The sequence below is a fragment of the Homo sapiens genome, chromosome 20 (genome assembly GCF_000001405.40).
Source record: "Homo sapiens chromosome 20, GRCh38.p14 Primary Assembly".
Taxonomy (NCBI): Eukaryota; Metazoa; Chordata; class Mammalia; order Primates; family Hominidae; genus Homo; species Homo sapiens.
Window position 1 is genome coordinate 33,609,921 of NC_000020.11, and position 24,553 is coordinate 33,634,473.

Here is a 24,553-nt window from a genome sequence, read left to right on the forward strand (position 1 = left end):
ATGATTAAGTGAAAACAGAATGATACTTAGGTACTAGATAATTTAGATTTTTACTTGATGCCAACAAGAACGTAGCTCAGTGCCAGGCACGGTGGCTCATGCCTGTAATCCCAGCCTTTGGGAGGCCAAGGCAGGAGGATCACTTGAGCCCAGGAGTTTGAGACCAGCCTGGGCAATATAGTGAGACTCCCTGATCTACAAAAAATTTTAAAAAAAGAAATTAGCTGTGCATGGTGGCATGTGCCTGTAGTCCCAGCTACTCAGGAGGCTGAGGTGGGAGGACACCTGAGTCCAGGAGGTCGAGGCTGCACCAGGAGGTCAAGGCTGCAATGGGCCAAGATGGTGCTGCTGCACTCCAGCTTGGATGACAGAATGAGACCCTGCCTCAAAAAAACAAACAAGCAAAACCATAGCTCTAGGGTTGTTTTCGAAATTAAAATTTTCAAGAAATGACTATTAAGAACTAAATAGGAAAACTGTAATTAATCACATGTATTATAATTTGAGCAAAAATGTAGGATGGGAGTGTCCTGCATGGAATCAGGAAGATGCTTTATTGAATGACCAAGGGTTTGGCAGTATTAATCTAGCACTGTTAAGGCAGAGAGTAACTGGCTCTAATGGACATGAGTATTCTGGATGGCCAAAGAGATAGGTACCTTATTGTAGGAATAAGTCATTAAATCAGTAGGCCTAAAAAATATCCCTCATATTATCATAACTCTTTTTTCTGGTGTCTTGCTCACATGCTACCTTCTGATTGACTGCCTAGTGTTTTGGGGACCTTGAAATTGGGAAGGAGATGCAATGTAAAAGATGGGCATGAGTATCCCATCACTGGAAAGATCTATTGGCCCAGACCCATCTCAAGCACTACCTGTTGCAGGAAGTCTTTCTTAAAACTACCCACCCCTGCCCATGGCACCTGTAGAGTTAGATTTCCCTTCTTATTGCTCTGGGAGCACTCTGCTTTCTTTTTAACGCTCCAGTGTTACTCTGTTACCATTTTTATCTGACAGCAGTCTCACTGAGGACAGAACCAGTTTTGCATACCTTTATAACATGTGCTTTACAAAATTCAAATGAACAAACGAAAATACAAACAAGAAAAAATGAACAAAGGTTCCCTTGTTTTACACGTAACCTGAGTCTTTCATTTTGGCTTTCTTTTAGTAAGCAATGGCATCAACCATTCTCCTCCTACCCTGAATGGTGCCCCATCACCGCCACAGAGATTCAGCAATGGTCCTGCCTCCTCCACATCATCTGCACTCACAAATCAGCAATTGCCAGCCACTTGTGGTGCTCGACAACTCAGCAAGTTGAAACGCTTTCTTACCACTCTGCAACAGTTTGGCAATGACATCTCCCCTGAGATTGGGGAGAAGGTGCGGACTCTTGTTCTTGCACTGGTGGTAAGTACAGCCTCACTGTTGTTCTCAGCTGCCTGAGTATGTGGCTCAGGTCCAAAGCGAGCAAAGTTCTAGATATTTCTGCTCATTTTCAAACCCATGGTCATATGGCAAATGCTACAGACTAGACTAGTTATTGAATAACTTGTGTAAAACTGTTTAAATGTAGGTTTCTTTTCTTTTCTTTTCTTCTTTCTTTTTTTTTGAGGGTCTTACTGTGTCACCCAGCCTGGAGTATGATGGTGCGAACACAGCTCACTTCAGCCTTGACCTTCCAGGTTTAAGCAGTTCTCTTGCTGCATCCTCCTGAGTAGTTGGGACTACATGTGCATGCCGCCATGCCCAGCTAATTTTTTTATTTTGGTAGAGATGGGATCTCTCTATCTTGTTCAGGCTGCTTTCAAACTCCTAGCCTCAAGCAGTCTGCCTGTCTCGGCTTCCCAAAGTGCTGGGATTATAAGCATGATGTTTAATTGTAGATTTTATGTCAGTGCTTATCAAAGAAACAATCGATAATGTTTACTTGTTATTTAAGGTGGTGATTTAATTCCAATAAGCAACTTTGGATTTTTTTTAAAACTGCTCTCAACAGGCCCACTGGTGTCCAACCAAGTTAATGCAAGGTTTTGTAATTTAATATATTCAGTGCTTAGTGCATTGTTTCCAAACCAAGGAGAGTAGAGAGGTAGCAAGTTTAATTTTCAAAACAATGATTTCTAAAATTACAAGTTACGTGGCCTAAATAAATACTATCAAAATAAACAGTATCAAAGGGATTGCATTGTTCAGCTCCTCGTGCATATAAACTTGCTTAAGAATTTGCAAGGTACACATAATTTTTCTTTCTTTCTATACTGCACGTGGTGAACCTGTGGCATAAAGGAGTGATTTTCTGACTTCGACACCTGGGTGGGGTTTTATTCTCAGTGTTTATAAGGGAAGTACTGCCAGTTCCCAATGTTTCTAATTGAATTTACCTCCAATAAAAGCATTCTGTGCTCCTTTGTGTATGTTAACCCCTTTATATGGGATAAAAAGATGAATCACAGCACTAATCCTTGAAGCTGCAGCTCTCCGAGTGTAAATCTAGGGACCCTGAAGATTCTCCAGGATCCTTTCTGGAGATCCAGAAGGTGAAAACTATTTTCATAATATAACAGTAGACTAAATGCAAAAGTAGAGAGAATACAACTGGCTTCTAGTATGCTAGATATTAAAGAGACTTTCTATTATGCTAGATATTAAAGAGACTTGCAAAATGATAAAACAGTGCTGCTCTTCTTACTGCATTTATTTTGGAAAATACAGATTTTAAAAATCACACCTCAGTCTGAACCAATATAGTTATTTTTTATTTTAATTAAATTCTCAGCTTTAATTTCTGATATAGTAATGTCAATAAATGTAATCCATATAAATTAGAGGAATTCTGAGACCAAACAGTTTAAGAATTATTGCCTTAAAAAATTTCTCAGTCTAAGGCCAGATGTGGTGGCTCACGCCTGTAATTTGGGAAGCCAAGGTGGGAGGATTGCTTGGATGCAGGAGTTCAAGACCAGCCTGGGTACATAGTGAGACTGCCTCTACAAAATGATTTTTTAAAAGTTAGCTGAGTGTGGTGGCATATGCCTGTGGTCCTAGATACTCAGTAGGTTGAGGTGGGAGGATTCCTTGGGCCCAGGAAAGCTATGTTTGCACCACTGCACTTCCAGCCTAGGTGACAGAGTGAGACCCTATCTCAAAACATAAATTTAAAAAATTTCTCAGTCTATTATGAAAGGAACAACTTTCATACAAGGCAAAATGCAATATATGACTTTTTCATCATTTGTGAGGTTTAGTCCTTGTTACGTATGACTGTAGGTTATTTTCATTGCTATATAGTGTCATATTGTAGGAATATACCACAATTTATACCTTTGGGTTATCTGACATTTAAGTCATTTGTAATTTGGGGCAGTTTTGGGGTCTCCAGCATCTCCCCCATGTTTGGAGATTTGCCAGAAGGAGTCACAGGACTTGACATACAGTTGTGCTCACAGCTAAGATCTATTACAGAGGCATAGTAAGGAGACATAGTGAGAGAGACACAGTCTGGAGGAACCCATCTGCAGGTTTCCTTATGCTCTCTGCCTCTCCTGAATGGTAACACAGAGCTCCCTTTCCTTAGCAACAAAAATAACAGCAACATATATGCAGTGTTTCTGTCAAGGGAAGCCTATTACAGACTCAATGCCAAGGTTTTTGTTGGGGCCTGGTCACATAGTCAGTCTTTGCCTAGCACCTGCCAAATTTTACCCTCTTAGAAGGAAAACCCGTGTTTAGCATGAACCATACTGTTCGCAGAACCACTCTACACACGGCCACCCTTATCGGTTAGGGAGAAGTTTAGTTCTTTTTTATTTTAAACCTGTTTATTCCTCAAATTTTAGACTACTACAGAAAAATCTTACTGGATCCAGAGTAAGGTTATTGGAGTTAAATGTCAAAATGAGCTTGAACATAATTGGAAACAAAGCAGACATCAAAATGTTATGTTGATTCCAGCAGCAAATTAAGTATTATCTATTCTTAAAAATAATTTCAAGACTAAAAGTAAAAATGTCAAAAATTCATTTGCGGCGGGCGGATCATGAGGTCAGGAGATCGAGATCATCCTGGCTCACACAGTGAAACCCCATCTCTACTAAAAATACAAAAAATTAGCCGGGCGTGGAGCTTGCAGTGAGCCAAGATCGTGCCACTGCACTCCAGCCTGGGCAACAGAGCAAGACTCCGTCTCAAAAAAAAAAAAAAAATTCATTTGTAAAAAATTTGAATCTTTTTTTAGTTATGAAAAGTATATGTAGGTGTGTCCAATTATTTCTTTTAAATGGCCACATTTGGGTTACCTTTTTTTTCCATAGTAAAATATACATTATAGAATATACCATTTTAACCTCTTTTAAGTAGACAGTTCAGTGGTCTTAAGTACATTCATATTGTTTGTGCTGTTCACCATGTGTCCCTGTTTGCCATTGTGTATTTAGAGCCTATGAGCACCACAGGGTTAAGGAATTTATACAATTGCTTTTTTTGAATTGTGATGAAATTTACTATATTAACTATTTTTAGGTTTACAGTTTAGTGACAATAAGTATATTCATATTATCATACAACCATCATCACCATCCATCTCCAAAACTCTTTTCATCTTGCAAAACTGCACCAATTAAACAATAATACCCCATTCCCCCCTCTCCCTAGACCCTGGCAATTACCATTCTACTTTCTGTCCCTATGGATTTAACTACTCTAGGTACCTCATACAAGTAGAATCATACAGTATTTGTCTTTTTGTGACTAGCCTATTTCACTTAGCTTAATGTCCTTAGGGTTTATGCATGTTATAGCATATGTCAGACTTTCCTACTTTTTAAGGCTAATATTTCATTTTATGTCTATATCACATTTTATTGATCTGTTAATTCCCCAATGGACACATGGGTTGCTGCCACCTCTTCAGTTAAGAAAAGTTTTATATCAATGTAGGAAACTGTTTGCCATCCAGGGTCCTAGATGCCAGCCAGTGGCCCAACCTTACAAGCAGGCCTTTCTAAGGCTAGCAGTTTTAGGCCTACTATGTTAACTCTTTTTTGTACAGAACCATTACAAATAATGTTCCTATGAACATTCTTTTACACGTGTGGAAACACTGCACGCAACAGTGGAATTGTGGTTTCATATGTGTGGTGTGTACCTGTAGTCACAGCTACTCAGGAGACTGAGGCAGGAGGATCACTTTGGTCCAGGAGTTTGAGGCCAGCCTGGGTAACATAGACAGACCCCCATCTCTAAAAATAAAGGCCACATAATTTAGTAGCTGGAGTTATCCATCTGCATTCTGTGTCCATGGTGTATAAGAAGTAAGGTACTGAGAGTCCCTAACTATACCAGAAAGCAAGCATGGGCATTTTGCACTTCAAGGTAATGGTAAATGTTTTGTGCTTCACTTACTTATTATTATTTGGAGAATGTACTTTCTGGAGGATAGTTTGGCAATGTTTCTGGTACCATTCATCCTAAGAAAATAATAAACATAAACAATATACACCAAGATAATCAGTTCAACATTAAGTACCCCCTCCCCCATTGAAGCTAACTGAAAGGTCTGTAAAACCCTGAGGAAAGTACAATTTATCTGTTGTCGTTAAAAATCAAGTCTCATTCTGGTTCAGAGGCAAGGTAGAAAGACAGACTTCTCCCTATTCCCCCCAATAAGTAGCAAAAAGCCGTGGACTTTACCTATAAAACAAAAATAATTAGAGTCTTCACCAGGTGTGGTGGAGTGTGTCTGTAGTCCCACCTATGTAGTCCCAGCTGAGGCAGGTGGATTGTGAGCCTGGGGGACAGAGCAAGACCCCATCACTTTAAAAAAAAAAGAGAGAGAGACTCTTAAAGGTAGAGAGAAGACAGCAGATTCACTCATGGGACCCAAGGGACTACATAAGCAGTGAGTTCCCTAGGTTTTGTGTTTTTCTGATATATCCCACACCAGGTTATGCAGAAAATGTTGAGTTTAAGAGTAAAAATATAGGTAAGTAAATAAACTTTCCTTAGCTGGCATAGTGGAGTATGCCTATAGTCCCAGATACTCAGGAAGTTGAGGCAGGAGGATCACTTAAGCCCAGGAGTTCGAGGCTGCCATGAGCCATGATCACACCACTGCACTCCTGCCTGGGTGACAAAGCAATACTCTGTAGATAGAGATAGATAGATAGATAGATAGATAGATAGATAGATAGATAGATAGATAGATAGATGACAGAGCAATACTCTGTAGATAGATATAGATATAGATACATACATACATATACATACATATATATATACATAGGTAACTAGCTAACTAACTTTCCCTCTCCTGAGTTTTCTAAATTATGTTTCTTGTTGGCAGCAAAAATTACTTTGCCTGATATGGTTGTCACTATATGTAGAGGAAATAATTGCCAATTTTTATTATAAACCAGGAGGATAAAGATAGACAAGGTTTCTGTATTTCTGTATTTTGGTCAGTGGTGGTTACATGAAAATACACATATGGCAAAATGGTATAGAACTATAAGTATGTTGTACCAATGTTAGTTTCCTAGTTTTGAGATTGTAACCCTTTGGGAAGCCAAGTTGGAAGGATCACTTGAGGTCAAGAGTTGGAGATCAGCCTGGTCAACATGGCAAAATCCCATCTGTACTAAAAATACAAAAATTAGCCAGGAGTGCCAGTGCACACCTGTAATCCCAGCTACTTGGAAGGCTGAGGCACAAGAATCACTTGAACCTGGGAGGCTGAGGTTGCAGTGAGCTGAGATCACACCACTGCACTCCAGCATGGGTGACAAAACAAGACTGTGTCTCAAAAAAAAAAAAAAGATGTAAGCATTGGAGAAAGCTGAATAGAGGATACATTGGAGTATAAGTGTTGCCCTTGAAATCCAGAGACCAGATTCCCTCAGCATCTTACCTCTCAACGTTCTTCTCTCTGCTCTGACACATCTTTCCCAAAGCTGCATTTCAGTTTCCTCAAGGACAACACTGATGTACAGAAATCCTTGTCCCCCTAAGTTTGATTCAAATATATCTTCTCTGGCCAGGTAACACCCATAATCCCAGAATTTGGAAGGCCCAGGCCGACTTGAGGCCAGGAGCTTAAGACCAGCCTGGGGAATGTAGCATGACTCCTTCCTCTACAAAAAAAAAAATTTAAATTAGCTGGGCATGGCCAGGCACGGTGGCTCACGCCTGTAATCCCACCACTTTGGGAGGCCAAGGTGGGCGGATCACGAGGTCAGGAGTTCAAGGTTGCAGTGAGCTATAATCATGCTACTGCACTCCAGCCTAAGTGACAGAGCTAGACCCTATCTCTGAAAAAAAAAAATTTTTAAGCAAATACGTCTTCTCTGTGAGTCAGTAGTGTCCTGTACATGTGTACCTCCATCATACTGTAATGAATAGCTTAGTTGCCTCTTTTCCCACTAGACTATGAGATCTTTGAGGGGAAGAAACAAACAATTATGCTCTTAATATAAAATAAGGTTTTATAAACTAGCTGAAGGAGGAAGGTGTTTATCCCTCTCATACAGGACTGCCCTATATCCACTATGTATGTAAACCTGAGTCCATTTCTCTGGCCTAACTCACTATTTCCCTGTGTCACACAATCCATCCTTTCCCCTTGTCTACCCACAAGTATACTTAAAATCATTCATGTAGCCCTTCCATACATTTAATCTATTTGTGTTTGCTTTTCAAGACCTGATTGCTTCCCTTGCAGTAGATATAAAAGAGTGTCATTCTCTTACACTTAGTTTTTATTCCTGATTACCAGAATTACAGGTTTCTTTTGCTGTATTGTGCAAATGTCATATACTTAAAACAGATATAACGTTAACTTTAAAAGAATTTTTTTGGTATGAAATGTGGGAAAGTGTTCAAACATTTTCCTTTAATATGTTTAAATTGGACATACCCCTTTTCCCTGAAGGAAAATGTCTTAATGTTTACCGAATAATAAATATGATATATTTGGAAAATCCAACATAATTGCACACTCAGAAATAACTGTTATTGTGATTATTCTCCCAGGCATTAAATATATGATATAATATGCATGTGTGTTATTTTTGTAAGTGGATTCTTAGAAAATATAATGTTCTGTTTCTGGTTTTTCACTTAACAGTATTGTAGGTACCTTTTCTGCCTTAATGCGTACAAATCTGCTCTACCCCCTCCCTGCATAAGCATTCTGATACATGACTCTTGTAATTTTAATGTAGCTTTCTGTTGGTAGATCTATATATTTTCCTTTTTTTTTTTTTTTGTTAGGAAAATATATTGTGATAGCGTGGGGGTAAGTTGCATGTTACATACTATGTTTTTGAACACTTACAAAGTTTCTAAAAGTAAATTCCTAGAAATGTTATAGCTCTTTCTGGGGAGCAAGCAGGGATTCAGAATAATCCCCATATTTCATTTTGTTCGTTTGTTTTAATTTGTTATCATACAGTGTTATCGGCAATTGAAATACAAATATTGTGTGAACTTTGAAGAAAATATTTTTATTTGTTCATTCCCCTTAGCAGAGTTGCTGAGTCTCATTCCTAATTTGAGGCCTAGACTTTTGGGAAAACACAGAGGACGTCCACCTTTTAGAGAACAGTGATAACTTACCAATGGGGGTTTGCCGGTTGGGAGTTATTCTGGTATGCATAATGCATACAGGCCACTTGAAGGTAGAAGGCAACTATTCTTTTTTCTTTTGCTTCTGGTGGTTTTTGTTTGTTTGTTTGTTTGTTTGTTTGTTTGAAGATTTGGGGGAAGTTATGCCAGGAGGTAGGGGGCAGAACTTGGAAAAAGAAATGAACTTTTGAAAAAATGTGACACTGGGTTACTGAGTCCAAAATGTCTTAGAGTTGACATCCTAGGCCAAGTCATTATCTCTGTAACAGGAAACATTGTAAGCTTGATTGCCTGTTCCTGAAGTGACTTGCAATGAACCCCTCAATATCAGGGATCAGAGTGCCTCTCTTCATGGGTAGTGAGAAAGGCAGTGCCCTATTCTGCAGCCTAGGCTGCTGGGCAAAGGGGAGAATTTGGTGGTGGTGAAGGGAATCAAGGAGGGTTTCTGTCATAAGAAACCAGTGTGGTTTACCTTTGCCAGGCGTCTGAGTTCCTGATGATGTTCCTGCAGTTATCCTTTTCCTTATGATTTAAAAGTCTTTAGCAGCTGAGCACGGTGGCTCACCCCTGTAATCCCAACACTTTGGAAGGCTGAGGGAGGAAGATAGCTTGAGCTCAGGAGTTCAGGACCAGCCTAGACAACATAGCGAGACTGCATCTCTACTAAACATTTAAAAAACAAAATAAAAAGACCGGGCGCGGTGGCTCTCCCTTGTAATCCCACCACTTTAGGAGGCCGAGGCGGGTGGATCACAAAGTCAGGAGTTCACCGTCAGGAGATCACAGGAGGTGGAGGTTACAGTGAGCCGAGACCGCGCCACTGCGCTCTGGCCTGGGCAACAGAGCAAGACTCCATCTCAAATAAATAAATAAATAAATAACATTAAAAAAAAAAAAAAAGAAGAGTTTGGCACTATAAGTTTTGGAAGTCCAGTTTTGGAAGTTGAACAAGGTTATTTATCTTTTCAGAACTCAACAGTGACAATTGAGGAATTCCACTGTAAGCTCCAAGAAGCCACAAACTTTCCCCTTCGTCCTTTTGTGATTCCATTTCTCAAGGTAATTTGATAATTACTGAATATAATTTATCTTGAATATTTCCTCAAATTCTGCTAATCCCTGTTACGTGATTTAAATCAGAGCCGCTTGCCACGTTTTTAGATCTTTATTTTGGGCTGGTAGAGAGGTCTGAGTGCAGTTAACAGATAAACGTCAGGTTTAATGAGATGAGAATTGCAAAAGCCTTAAGTTGTGGTCTGTGTGCAGACACTGCTGCTAACACATAGAAGTAGCTAGCATAGGAGAGAATAGGAGGTGCTTGGGCTGGAAGTGTGAAAGTGGAAGGGAGGCTGAGGTCCTAGCAGAAGAAATAACTGGTCACTAATCCTTTGGGTATAGTCAGAGTGTGAAGAGTGTTGTCTGAGAGGCTGTCAGACAAAAGGCAAGGTCTTTGCAGTTTAGACTTACTCTAAGGTCAGGAGACGATGTAGGAAGACAGTGTTTGTGTCTCCCCGAACCCCAGATAGTCTAGTTTCTAAAGATGTCTTCTGCAATAATGTTCTCTGGAGCATAACTTTTGGAGAGATTGTTCTGCATTATCATGCTTACATGATAAATGAAATGAGGCCATGTTATATATGTTATATTTACATGGAATAAAATCTTCTAAACAGCTTTTGGCCAGTCACGGTGGTTCACACCTATAATCCCAGCACTTTGGGAGGCCAAGGCAGGTGGATTGCATGAGCTCAGGAGTTCAAGACCAGACTGGCCAACATGGCAAAACCCCCGTCTCTGCCAAAAAAAAATAGAAAAAAAAAATAGCCAGGCGCTTGTAGTCCCAGCTAGTTGGGAGGCTGAGGCAGGAGAATCACTTGAACCTGGGAGGCAGAGGAAGCAGGTGAGCTGACATTGTGCCACTGCACCCCAGCCTGGGTGACAGAGTGAGACATTCTCAAAAATAAAATAAAATAAAGAATAAAAAAAGAAATATTTAAGAGTAAGCCGCAAGGCCGGGTGTGGTGGCTCACGCCTATAATCCATGCACGTTGGGAGGCCGAGGCAGGCAGATTACCTGAGGTCAGGAGTTAGAGACCAGCCTGACTAATGTGGTGAAACCCTGTCTTCACTAAAAATAGAAAAAATTAGCACATGCCTGTAGTCCCAGCTACTCACGAGGCTGAGGCAGGAGAATTGCTTGAACCTGGGAGGTGCAGGTTGCAGTGAGCCAAGATTGTGCCACTGCACTCCAGCCTGGGTGACAGAACAAGACTCTGTCTCAAAAAAGAAAAGTAAGCTGCAGACATTATACATCTAAATACTTAAATACAGGTATCAAATCAGGAAAGTAACATTCATACAACACTGTTACCTATAGACCTTATTCATATTTCACCACATGTCCCACTAATGTCTTTTACAACAAAGAAAAACTTGGGAGGGAGCATAGTTCTGGATCTGACTCAGGATCACCCATTGCATTTTGTTGTCACGTCTCTTTAGTCCACTTTAATCTGGCACAGTTACTCAGCTCTTTGTGATCTTGACGTTTTTACAGAATACAAGATAGTTATTCTATCTGCGCACCTGGATTTGGTTTTCTCTGGTGTTGATTTGATTAGAATCATTTAACAGAAAAACTGTATTCAATTGTTACTGTATTTTGAATTTTGTCAATATTTATGGAAATTTGTTTTCTCTCTTTTATGAGTATCTCTATAATACCTTTAATTTTACTGCCTTTTTTTTTTTTTTTTTTTTTTTTTTGGGGAGACAAAATCTCGCCCTGTTGCCCAGGCTGGAGTGCAGTGGCGCGATCTCGGCTCTACAACCTCTGCCTCCCGAGTTCAAGCGATTCTTCTGCCTCAGCCTCCAGTGTAGCTGGGACTACAGGCACGCGCCACCACACCCGGCTAATTTTTGTATTTATAGTAGAGACTATTAATAGTAGCGACCATATTGTCCAGGCTGGTCTCAAACTCCTGACCTTGTGATCCACCCTCCTTGGCCTCCCAAAGTGCTGGGATTACACGTGTGAGCCACCGTGCCCAGCGTCTAATTTTGCCTCTTAACAAAGCCTAAAATATTTACTGTCTGGTCAAATAAATATGCCCCTTTTACTTTCTTTTACCTTATTTTCATTTCCTAAGAAAATGTAACAGCATCATACAGATGGGTTATCTTACTAAAGTACTAATACCAGTTTTTTAAAACCTTCTATTGGAGCACAGCAGATACACAGGAAAATGCATCGGTCTAAGGTGCACAGCCTGTATCATGGCTCGGTTCTAATGGCATTGAAGCCTCGGCTGCTCTGAGCAGCCTGTGGTGCCTTTTTGAGCCCTGAAACAGCTGTGCTGGTTCTATCTTGGTCTCCTTTATGTATGTCAGAGCTGGTAGACAATTATTTCCCCAAGACTCTAGAATCAAGAAAGATTTGTGAAATTTGTGTTAATAGGAAATAATTAGCATGTTTTTTATTCATCATGGGACACATGTCAGCCGTGTAAAGATCTGACATGGTGTTTTTTTCAATTAAGTTTTTACAGTTGCAACAAGATTGAGGTTATAGAACAGACTTTAAAAGAGTTTTATATAGTCAAATTCCTTATTCTTAACTCTGTTATTTTGGAAAACAGCATGAGGTAGGTTGTTATGGCAGCTTTTTGGCTAGCATTTGGGGTTTTGTCAATTTATTTCTGCTTTAAAACAGTCACTAATTATGGTGCCTGCTAAATTAACCCTCAGTGAAGGGATGGCTACTTGCATGTATTAAAACTCTCCTTTCACTTGCTCATCTGTCCCTTGGGATTAAGCCTTTGCTTATGAGCCCAGCCTGCATTGCTTTTAAATTTGGTGAGAAAAATATAATTTCTACTTTATGTTTTTTTTAATAAAAATGGGAAAAGTAAATTCTGTATATGAAAGAGATCGAGTTCTGAGCTTTTAAAGATGTATAGGGTTTTAAAATGTGATTTGTTCCTATTGCAGGTTTTCTAAGTATGAGAGACAGAAAAATACCTACTTAATGAATTATCTTTTTACATTTTACATCACTCCCAGTGCTCCTTTTCAAACTCCCATGTTTCAGAATAATCACAGTTTCCAGAATTCTGTTGCAGCTTTTATACAGAGCTGGAAGGAAGGTTGAGTAGTGCTATCAGAGATGAGTTGGGGTCCAGAAGAGAGAAACCAGGGCTTGGAATGACTCCCACATAGGCAGTAGTAATTCTCTCACTGACTAAAGTCTTCAGAAGCGTATGTTTTAAAATTATTATGTTCAACAACCCTTTATTGAGCTTTGACTGTATACTAGGCTGCAAAGGTAAATAAGGTACAATCTCTTCCTTAAGCATATTTACATCTGGTTGGGGCAAGAGACAATTGAACCAGTAATTCAAGTGCAGTATAAGAGATATCATTGACTCACAGAAGAAGCATTTGAAAATCAGACTGCCAAGGAGAGAAAGGCTTTTATCTTGTATCATCTGCTTTGTGAAAGCCCTTTGAGGTGCTGAGCCTTCTTGTGTAGGGCCTAACACTGGAAAAACTGCCTCTTCCTTTCAAGGCCAACCTGCCCCTGCTGCAGCGGGAACTGCTGCACTGCGCTCGGGCGGCCAAGCAGACCCCATCCCAGTACCTGGCTCAGCACGAACACCTTCTGCTCAACACAAGCATTGCATCGCCTGCTGACTCGTCAGAGTTGCTCATGGAGGTGCACGGAAATGGGAAGAGGCCCAGTCCAGAGAGGTGAGCAGATGAGCTTTGCTGTCCTTGCCTTCCTGGAACCGCACTGGTCCTCCCCTTTGCTTATAAAAGAGAGAGAATTTGATTGCTGTGGTTGTAATGTCTCAAACTTTTTTTGAGACAAGGCCTGGCTCTGTCGCCCAGACTGGAGCGCAGTGGTGCAATCTTTGCTCCCTGCAGCCTCCATCTCCTGGGCTCAAGCGATCCTCTCACCTCAGCCTCCTGAGTATCTGGGATTACAGGCACGTGCCACCATGACCAGCTAATGTTTGTTTGTTTGTTTGTTTGTTTGTTTGTTTGTTTGTTTTTGGAGAGATGAGGTTTTACCATGTTGCCCAGGCTGGTCTCAAACTTGTGAGCTCAAGAGATCTGCCCGCCTCAACCTCCCAAAGTGCTGGGATTATATGGATGTGAGCCACCATGCCCAGCCCAATGTCTCAGACTTTCTGTGGTTATTTTTGCTTTATTCCAATACCTAGCTGCATAATACATCTAAAATCTATGGGAGTAGCTTCCAGACATGAGTATTTTTCGGGAACTCTTCAGATGCCTGCACACCCGGTAAGAAACTCTACTCTAGAGAATTTATGGGTCGACTGTTCCAGAAGCCTCAGGAGTACAGTTCTGCCTTTTCCTTGATGCTGTTTGTAGAAAGAATTGGAAAAAAAAAAAAAAGAAAAGAAAAGAAAAAACAAAAAAAAAGAAATACAATCTGCCAAATGCCTTTTATGTCAAACGCATTTTTTTCTGATCTGAGAAGTTTTGAAAAAGTATAGCAATTAATTATTAATATTTGCCAATGACTCACCTTTACTGAGATTAAAATTAATATGAATTTATTTTAGAAAACTCCCTATGAGTGGCTATCAAAATATTCTATGGGTTATCAAAGAAGGCAATATCAACAATAGTGGATAGGCTTTAATGACATTTTTTTAAAAGTAAAAAAAAAAAAAAAAAAAGAAAATTTATTACAGTTGAATCTGAGTGACTGAAAACCCTGCTACTACACAATTGGACCCACTGTTAATTTGACTGGCTTTAAAAAAAAAAAAAAGACACAATTGGATTTGTTATATGAGCCTTTTTCCTCCCATGTAGTTTCTTTCCAGTAACTCATCTCCACAGTAACAAATTTGACCTTAATACTTTCCTAAGTATGGTTGAACCCGTAACTCAGAAAAACGGTGTCATCTCCTTAGTCTCTCCTTTGCTTTATAAGGGTTAATGTTTCTGTCTGGTTATGGATGGATTTGACCTCTTTTTTCATGCTGGTATAAGTCAGCAATTTACATGAGGTGCCTGGCCCTTGAAGACAATTCAGCTCATGCCTCATGTCACACCTTTCCTTAGAGGCTTCCTGTTTATGCCAGCATGTAGCAAAATACCTAATACATAGTAGGTTCTCAGGAAATGTCTGCATGAACACTTGTTGACAGGATCAGATACGCACTTCTGCTTCTTCTACAGGAGAGAAGAGAATAGTTTTGATAGAGACACAATTGCTCCTGAGCCTCCTGCCAAGAGAGTATGTACCATCAGCCCTGCTCCTCGGCACAGTCCTGCTCTCACTGTGCCCCTCATGAATCCCGGGGGCCAATTCCATCCTACCCCTCCACCTCTTCAGCATTACACCTTAGAGGATATTGCAACTTCTCACCTGTATCGGGAACCCAACAAGATGCTAGAGCATCGAGAAGTTCGTGATAGACACCACAGTCTTGGTAAGCAACCGAAGCAGCATGGTAAATTCAGACTGGATTCTTGGATTTCTTTCCAACTCAATGATAAAGTCAAATAATATGATTGCTTTTTCCCACTGATTGGATAAAACAATATTATACATAGACTATTAGAATCATAGTTGATCTTATTTGATATCAATCTCATTTGATACCTTGTTGCTATGATATGATAGAAGTACAGCTAGGTGTGGTGACTGGTGTCTGTAATCCCAGCTCTTAGAGAGGCTGAGGTGGAAGGATCACTTGAAGCCAGTCTGGGCAACATAGTGAGATCCCATCTCTACAAAAAATTTTAAAAACTAGCCAGGCTTGGTGGCATGCGCCTGTGGTCCCAGCTACTAGGGAGGCTGAGGAGGGAGGATCAGTTGAGTCCAGGAAGTCAAAACTACATTGAGCCATGATCTTGCCACTGCATTCAGCCTGGGTGACAGAGTGAGACCTGTCTAAAAAAGAATAAAGGGGTATCGCCTATTCTCAGATGGTTCAGAAGAAGAGAATGAAAAAGCAAAGGAGGTAAAATGTTAACATTTGAGAACTCTGTTTGAAGATATGTGAGAATTCTTTGTGCTCCTTTTGCAGCTCTTCTATAAATCTGAGTTTATTGCAGAATAAAAGTTTTTAAAATTAGGCCAAGCTCAGTGGCTCATGCCTATAATCCCAGCACTTTGGAAGGCCAAGGCAGGAGGATCACTTGAGGCCAGAAGTTTGATACCAGCATGGGCAACATAGAGAGACCTCATCTCTACAACAACAACAACAAAAATTAAAAATGAGGCAGGAGGGGCTGGGCGTGGTGGCTCACGCCTGTAATCCCAGCACTTTGGGAGGCTGAGGTGGGTGGATCATGAGGTCAGGAGATGGAGACCAATCTGGCTAATACAGTGAAACCCTGTCTCTACTAAAAATACAAAAACTTAGCTGGGCGTGGTGGTGGGCACCTGTAGTCCCAGCTACTCAGGAGGCTGAGGCAGGAGAATGGCGTGAACCCAGAAGGCGGAGCTTGCAGTGAGCCGAGATCACGCCCCAGCACTCCAGCCTGGGCAACAGAGCAAGACTCCGTCTCCAAAAAAACAAAACCAAACAAAAAACAAACAAAAAAAATGAGGCAGGAGGACTGCTTGAGCCCAAGAGGTCAAGACTGCAATGAGCCATGATGGTGCCACTGCACTCCCCTCCTGGGCAACATGGTGAGACCCTGCCTCAACACAATAAAAAATGTTTTTAAAATTAAGCAGGAAAGATGCAAGATTTCACCTTGGAGGAGAAAGTGCATGGACATTTAGGTCAGGAGGTGAGGCATATCGAAATCTTGGCTCTGCATCCTAACTAGCTGTGTGATCTCAGGCAAGTTGCTTGGGCTCTCTGAGCCTCAGAAGAGTAATTTCTAAATGATTGTAACGCCACCCCCTGTGCTAGGTTGTTGTTCCATTTGGAATGCCTGGTATATAGGTGCTCAGAAACCTTTAAATTTAGGAAGAAACAGAAAAGAAACCTTAACAAACCTCTTCTAGTTTTGGACAGAGCGGTTTGTCATGTACTCTTACACGTTTTCAGCATAAGGTTTTTTGGAGTAAAACTGCTGAGCAGAGAACCAAAGGGCTATCAGCTTCCAGGGTTTCCCTAAATTTCCATGTATACCTTGTTGAGTAAAAAACTGCAATACATTTGCCCTCACTTCCTCTTACTTAGGCTCACTAGCATCTTTCAGACGCTTGGCCACAGTGGGGCCCCTGGCATCATGTAGTGGGATAGTAGCTGAATAGGGAAGGCTGTAGCAGCCATGGTGTTCTCAGAGCCAACATTTACTGAGTCGTAGCTACCACTTAGATTGTGTTGTAAGTACATTGTCTTATTTTATCCTCACAGGAGTCCCAGACAATTGTTATCCCCTTTTTACAGATGAAGGAGCTATGGCCAAAAATCACTTAGCTAATAATTGGCAGAGACAAAATTCAGACCCCAATTGTCTTATGCCCAAGGTTTAGATGTACTGGCAGTATGTTATGATACTTATCCTAGTGTTCAACCCCTGTTACTCCTATGCCTCTCTTTTATCTATTAAAAACTGCTTGCGGGCGGTCTGGCGTGGTGGTTCATGCCTGTAATCCCAGCACTTTGGGAGGCCTAGGTGGGCGAATCGTGAGGTCAGGAGATCGAGACCATCCTGGCTAACATGGTAAAACCCCGTCTCTACTAAAAATACAAAAAATTAGCTGGGCGTGGTTACAGGCACCTGTAGTCCCAGCTACTTGGGAGGCTGAGGCAGGAGTAGGGCGTGAACCTGGGAGGTGGGGGTTGCAGTGAGCCAAGATCACACCGCTGCACTCCATCCTGGCAACAGAGTGAGACTCCGTCAAGGGGGGGGAAAAAAACTGGCTTGCTTTGATTGGAAATAGCACAGTGGGGGAAAAAACTGGCTTGCTAATTAATGGTTTCTTCTGGACCTTTTTTGCCAGTTTGACTTGAGAAAGAAGTATGCTAAAAACTAGGTATGGGGTCTCACTATATTGCCCAAGCTGGACCCCTGGGCTCAAGTGATCTACCTGTGTCAGCCTCCTGAGTGGCTGGGACTATAGGCCCACCCCACCACACCTGGCTTTTATTACTACATTTTTTGACAGATTTTACAAATCATGAGGAACTCAATATATACTGAAATAAACAGATTATCACACTAATACATAGTCACTATGAATATTATGACTATAAATTCAGACTGGTAACAGGGGTGTTGTGTTAATGACTCAAAGACTAAGCACTGTTACTGTATGTGACTTAGGTTTAAAATAGTAGACAATTCTTACTGGTATACCCTTAATTCACACAGTTGTTCCATTCCTGGAAGTTTCAGTATATATCAAAACTATCCCCCCACCAAAAAAATTTTTTTAAGTTACTGATAATATTAAGCTGTTTCCAAGTGGTTATACCAGTACACACGCTAGTTTTGGTGGTTAATTATTCGCATTGCACCACATCCTTGTCAACACTTAGTATTATCTGACATTTTAATTTTTTCCAGTATGTTAGATGTGAAATGCTATGTATGACATACCTGTTTATTTCTTTTACCTCTTTTTCTTTAGGGCTATTTCGTGTTTTACAATTGATTTGTTGGAGTTTTTTATATAATGTGAATCGTGATCCTTTGTTGGTTATATTGTCATTTTGTGGGTCCCCCACCCCATTGTGAATCATTGCCTTAGTAGTGTGATCAAAGTTATTATGAATATGTGTGTATTTACTTGGTAGAATTTGCTTCTATTGTGTTTTTCCTGCTATCTTTGAATTTAATCTGTAATTTCTAATAGGTCTAAATGGAGGCTATCAAGATGAGTTGGTAGATCATCGTTTGACAGAAAGGGAATGGGCTGATGAATGGAAACATCTTGACCATGTAAGAATCTTGTAGTGTGTAATGTCCCTAACTCTTTATTACTTTTTTTTGAAACAGGAGTCTCGCTCTGTCACCCAGGATGGAGTGCAGTGGTATGATCTCAGTTCACTGCAACTTCTGCTTCCCAGGTTCAAGCAATTCTCCTGCCTCTGTCTTCGGAGTAGCTGGGATTACAGGTGTACGCCACCGTGCCTGGCTAATTTTTGTATTTTTAGTAGAGACAGGGTTTTGCCATGTTGGCCAGGCTGGTCTCAAACCCCTGACCTCAAGTGATCTCCCCACCTCAGCCTCTCAGAGTGCTGTGATTACAGGTGTGAGCCACCGCACTCAGCCTACTTAATGCTACCAATAATTAATGGAACATGTATGCTTGAAGTGAACATAACCACAGCCATGACATCCTTTGCTTTTAATAAAAGCTGGTTTAGCTACTACTCCCTCAGCTGAGGAATTACAGAGTCACTCCCTAATCTTTGTGATGGGATGATCACTTCAGGTCAGAAACCAAATAAAGTCATGTAGTATAATGGTTAACAACAAAGGTTTGTAGCCAGGTGCAGTGGCACATGCCTGTAGTCCCAGCTACTCGGGAAGCTAAGGCAGGAGGATCTCTTAAGCCCAGGAGCCAAGACTTCAAGTCTAGTCTGGGCAACATAGCAAGATGGAATTCATTTGTATTTGTTAAATTTTTATCAAAAGAAACTTTCTTTTTATTTTTTTCAATTCTGCTCCTTCTGTAGTAAAGAGATTGCTTTTTAGCCCACATACTCATGTTTCGTAGTTTTAGAACACAGGTCAGTAACAAACTTCTAGGTAATTCAACCCCCCAAAATTGTTTATATTCCAAAATTATTTTGCACTCTGAAAGATAGCAGCCTTCCTCATCTCATCAAAATTCATAATTTCTGTTAGAAATGTGTGTGTGCCTTATTTTATGGTTCAGCCACAGCAAATTTACAGTGCTGCAGACCCTAGGGATACAACAAATGCTGCTGCAACATGAAATAGTAGACTGTTGGCCAGAAGGCCATGCATCTGAGGTTTTGTCCAAACACTGGAAGCCCTGGTAGTTATTGTCCTCTTTAGGTATGTCAGCCTCAACACCAATGTCCTTCCTAGCTGATGGAGAAACAGACAGCAATAAAGGTTTTAAATGTAAACTTGATATTCCTAAATCTGTACTTTAAGGAACCTGAATTCCTCATATTGCGTTGGCCTGATTTACAGTGTTGGTTGTTTGAATGTTCTTATCTCATCTCTGCCTGGCCCCCTCTGTGACTCAGGCGCTGAATTGCATTATGGAAATGGTAGAGAAAACAAGGCGCTCTATGGCAGTTCTGCGGCGCTGTCAGGAATCAGATCGTGAAGAACTCAACTACTGGAAAAGACGGTACAATGAAAACACAGAGCTGAGGAAAACGGGGACCGAGTTGGTCTCCAGGCAGCACAGCCCTGGGAGTGCAGATTCTCTCAGCAATGGTAAGGGGAGAGTCTACGGGAAACCCAAAATAAATGTCAGCCTTTAGAGCCCACCAATCTGTCACAGAAGGCGTTTTCTACTTGACTTTAAAGAAAGGTGGTACTCAATTGTGGATTTAGGGAAACTCAGGTGATTATGAAAAGTAAATGAGAAAATATATGAAGCCCCTGGCATGTTTTGGTGGGTGGCGCAGGAAGGGGGTTTTTTTGTTTTGGATAGACAGGATCTCACTGTGTTGCCCAGGCTGGCCTTGGACTCCTGGCCTCAAGCAATCCTCCTGCCTCACCCTCCCAAAGCACCAGGATTACAGGCCTGAGCCACTGTGCCCAGCCTCGTACTTGGCGTGTTCAAAAAATGTTAATTCTTCGTGGAGAATGAGAATATTTGTGATTTTGTTCTGTCTTTAACTCTTTACATATATGTGTGCTAGGTGTTGGTCAGAGTGTTTGGTTGTCAAATTCAGCCTGGCTGGATGTATGTACTAGGCACTCTTGTGTCATCACTTTCATTTCTCACAGTAGCCCTGAAAGTGTTTACCTTACCTTCCCTCCTCCTGTCCCCAGCCCACCATTCAGGAAAATACCACTCAATCCACCATGGCCTGGTGGCCTCCTACAAAAGGTTTTACCATACCACGCTGGGTTGTTTCCCCTTGCCTTTCAGAGTCTGAAGCAGCAGCAATCCAGAGTACATCCAGCAAACCTCAGTTATTCCCCTCAAAATGTTCCAGCACATTCACCCAGTAACTGAGAAAGTGCCCTATCCAAAGGCATAGCTGAGTGACAGGCCATCTGTGATAAGACTCTTCCCACGCACTCTGAGTTCCCAAATGTTCACCACGAAGAACAAGTCTCTTACGACAGACCTAGTATGTTCCATTGAAGGCAGCTATTAGTCTCTAAAAGACTGTAAGGAAAACTTGAGGCAAAGCCAGAATTAATACAGTATGTACAGACAGTGGGAGTTAAAGGCTCACCTTTCCCCACCCCACCCACAGCAGCAGCTCTGGAGCCAACCATGGAATTACAACCATTAGGTGGAATATCTAGCACAACAAGGCGTCAACACATATGTAGAGTTATATAGTATGATTCCTTTCGTAAAAACTCGAAAAACAGGCCGGGCGTGGTGGCTCATGCCTGTGATCCCAGCACTTTCGGAGGCTGAGGTGGGCAGATCACAGGGTCAGGAGATCGAGACCATCCTGGCTAACACGGTGAAACCCCGTCTCTACTAAAAATACAAAAAATTAGCCAGGCGTGGTGGCGGACGCCTGTACTCCCAGCTACTGGGGAGGTTGAGGCAGGAGAATGGCGTGAACCCCGGAGGCGGAGCTTGCAGTGAGCCGAGATCGCGCCATTGCACTCTAGCCTGGGTGACAGAGCAAGACTCCATCTCAAAAAAACAAACAAAAAACTCCAAAAACAGACAAAGCTAATCTTCTGGTCTCCCTCACTTTCTGAACATTTGCAGATCCCTGTGCGACTTTCGGACAGGGAGAAAGGCTTTTGGAGACGTAGCTAAAGTTTACACCCAAGCCATACCTCATTCATCAGTGAGTCCACATGTGTGCAGGTGAGAAGCATAGAGTACAGAGGGAGCTGCAGTCGTGAGCCAGTGGTTGCTGAGCCAAGATACAGCTCTTGCTGGAGTCATTCAGGTCTTGCTGGAGTCATTTAAACATGGCTATGCATGACCACTACTCACCTTTCTCACCTTTTGCATCAAGGATTAGCTCTGGGGAGCATGTTTTCTGATTTGCCTGAGACAGTCCAGTTTATACCTGTGTCCTGTTAATAGTTATTACTAGCATTTCCCTCATTCTCAACAATGAAGGCAATCTGGATGATAAGTTATATTGTCATTCTAGGTTTGGTTTCTGACAGCACTATCAACCTGATTTAGATAGTATATTTTAGTGTCATTTATATGTTTATCTCATGTTTATTACTTGTCCATTTTAGTATAGTATGACAGTATAATTCATATCCTAAATAAATGTACTATGCAAAATGTGAACCAAAATGACTCCAAAAAGTGCCACTGGTCTGATTACATGAGGAGCTTGGGCACGGTTGGCTTCATCAAGAAAGTCTTACTGTGAAATTAGTTCTTTTTGTTTGTTTGTTTGTTCGTTTTTGTTTGTTTGTTTTGAAATGGAGTCTTGCTCTGTTGTCCAGGCTGGAATGCAGTGCACATTCTTGGCTCATTGCAACCTCCTGGGTTCAAGCCATTCTCTTGCCTCATCCTCCTGAGTAGCTGGGATTACAGGCACCTGCCACCATGCCTGGCTACGTTTTGTATTTTTAGTAGAGATGGGGTTTCACCATGTTGGCCAGGCTGGGCTCGAACTCCTGACCTTGTATGATCCACCCACCTTGGCCTCCCAAAGTGCTGGGATTACAGACATAAGCCACCATGCCCAGCCTGAAATGAGTTCTTAGACACATAGTTGTTTTACATTCTGGCATATGTTATACCAATAATCATAGTTTGAGTAGCATTGTCCTATATTGGGCAGTATTCTTAGACATTTCAAAGAATTTCACCAATGACTTTTTTTTTTTTTTTTTAACAGAGTCTAGCTCTGTTGCCCAGGCTGGAGTGCAGTGGCATGATCTCGGCTCACTGCAACCTCTGCGTCCTGGATTCAAGGGATTCTCCTGCCTCAGCTTCCTGAGTAGCTGGGATTACAAGCGCCTGCCACCACACCCGGCTGAGTTTTTTTTTTTTCAGTAGAGACGGCTGGTCTTCAATTCCTAACCTTGTGATCCACCCGCCTCGTCCTCCCGAAGTGCTGGGATTACAAGCATGAGCCACCGTGCCCGGCCTCACCAGTGACTTTTAAATAAGTAATTAGTGTTTTTGTTTGAGACGGAGTCTTGTCTGTCACCCAGGCTGGAATGCAGTGGCACGATCTTGCCTCACTGCTCCCCAGGTTCGAGCAGTTCTCCTGCCTTAGCCTCCCAAGTAGCTGAGATTACAGGTGTGCCCTACCACAGCCAGCTAATTTTTGTATTTTTAGTAGAGATGAGGTTTCACCATGTTTGCCAGGCTGGTCTCGAACTCCCAGCCTCAAGTAATCTGCCCGCCTTGGCCTCCCAAAGTGCTGGGATTACAGACATAAGCTACCATGCCTGGCCAAGTAATTAGTGTTTTTAAAGTCTTGGGTTAGCTGGGTGCAGTGTCTCACGCCTGTAATCCCCGCACTTTGGGAGGCTGAACGAGGTGGATCACGTGAAGCCAGGAGTTCGAGACCAGCCTGGCCAACATGTCAAAACACTGTCTCTACTAAAAACAAAAAAAGTTAGCCAGGCATGGTAGCACATGCCTGTACTCCCACCTACTTGGGAGGCTGAGGCACGAGAATCACTCAAACCTGGGAGGCGGAGGTTGTGGTAAGCCGAGATCACACACTGCACTCCAGCCTGAGCAACACAGTGAGACTCTGTCGCAAAAAAAAAATAAATAAATAAATAAATAAATAAAAGTCTTGGGTTATGCAGAAATCCATGGTGTGGATAGTTATTGAAGTAAAGTGGTTTGGTGATTTGGAGAGAAATTGACTAGAGGCTTTAGATGGCATTATTACTTTTCCCATTTAAATTAATGCAATGTAGGTTTCCTTACCTGAAAATTTATGATTCACAATGTTTTCACAAATAGATTTTGTTCAGACAGCAAGCAGTGTATTTAGGTGTCATTAAAGGATGCATAAATAAGTGCAAAAACCATAAGGAAAAGAAGAAAATGCTTATCACAGAGATCAGGAGACTGGTTTCCTCTGGCTGTGTGGGTGGAGGGTGCAGAGTTAGTGAGTTCTAACTACGTCTATTCTTGGGACAGGATTGTCAGTCTGGCTAGCATTATTTAAATACTACTATGGCTTGCCATGACTTACCTCTTAGGGATTTGGGGTTGCTGGTACTGTTCTGTTTCCTGAACTCAGGCTTATGATGTTAAATTGTATATTAATATTTTTATTATATTGTATGTTAATATTTTATGAACTGGTCAGCCATCTAACTTTGCAAGTAAAATTTTTTTTTGTTTGTTTGTTTGTTTTTGTTTGAAACGGAGTCTCGCTCTGTCACCTAGGCTGGAGTACAGTGGTGCAGTCTCGGCTCACTGCAACCTCCGCCTTTTGGCTTCAAGTGATTCTCCTGCCTCAGCCTCCCAAGTAGCTGGAATTACAGGTGCTTGCCACCATGCACAGCTAATTTTTGTATTTTTAGTAAAGACGGGGTTTCACCATGTTAGTCAGGTCGGTCTCGAACTCCTGACCTCGTGATCCACCCGCCTTGGCCTCCCAAAGTGCTGAGATTACACACATGAGCCACTGCATCTGGCCAAATTTTTAAACAAAGAAAAAGAATACTTAATCAGCTATCAGTTTTTCCTCAGAATGACAGTCAAGCTCACATTCCGGGCCCTTCTGGATGTTATGATTCTGAGACCCAAAAATCTGAATATAGTCCACCTGTGGTGGCTGACGCCAGTAATCCCAGCACTTTGAGAGGCAGAGGCTGGCAAATCGCTTAAACTCAGGAGTTCAAGA

General features: G+C 41.6%; 1 protein-coding gene across 3 annotated transcripts in view; it reads left to right on the forward strand.

Moving 5' to 3' along the window:
* The window catches only part of CBFA2T2 (CBFA2/RUNX1 partner transcriptional co-repressor 2), a 159,935-nt gene that overhangs the window by 119,825 nt on the left and 15,557 nt on the right, over window positions 1–24,553 (forward strand). For all 3 annotated transcript variants that reach the window (NM_001032999.3, NM_005093.4, NM_001039709.2), the window contains 6 exons: window positions 1,174–1,415; window positions 9,597–9,686; window positions 13,195–13,376; window positions 14,844–15,097; window positions 18,430–18,515; window positions 19,799–19,994. In NM_001032999.3, the coding sequence (NP_001028171.1) occupies window positions 1,174–1,415; window positions 9,597–9,686; window positions 13,195–13,376; window positions 14,844–15,097; window positions 18,430–18,515; window positions 19,799–19,994 (1,050 nt within the window). The remainder of the gene's footprint in view (window positions 1–1,173; window positions 1,416–9,596; window positions 9,687–13,194; window positions 13,377–14,843; window positions 15,098–18,429; window positions 18,516–19,798; window positions 19,995–24,553) is intronic.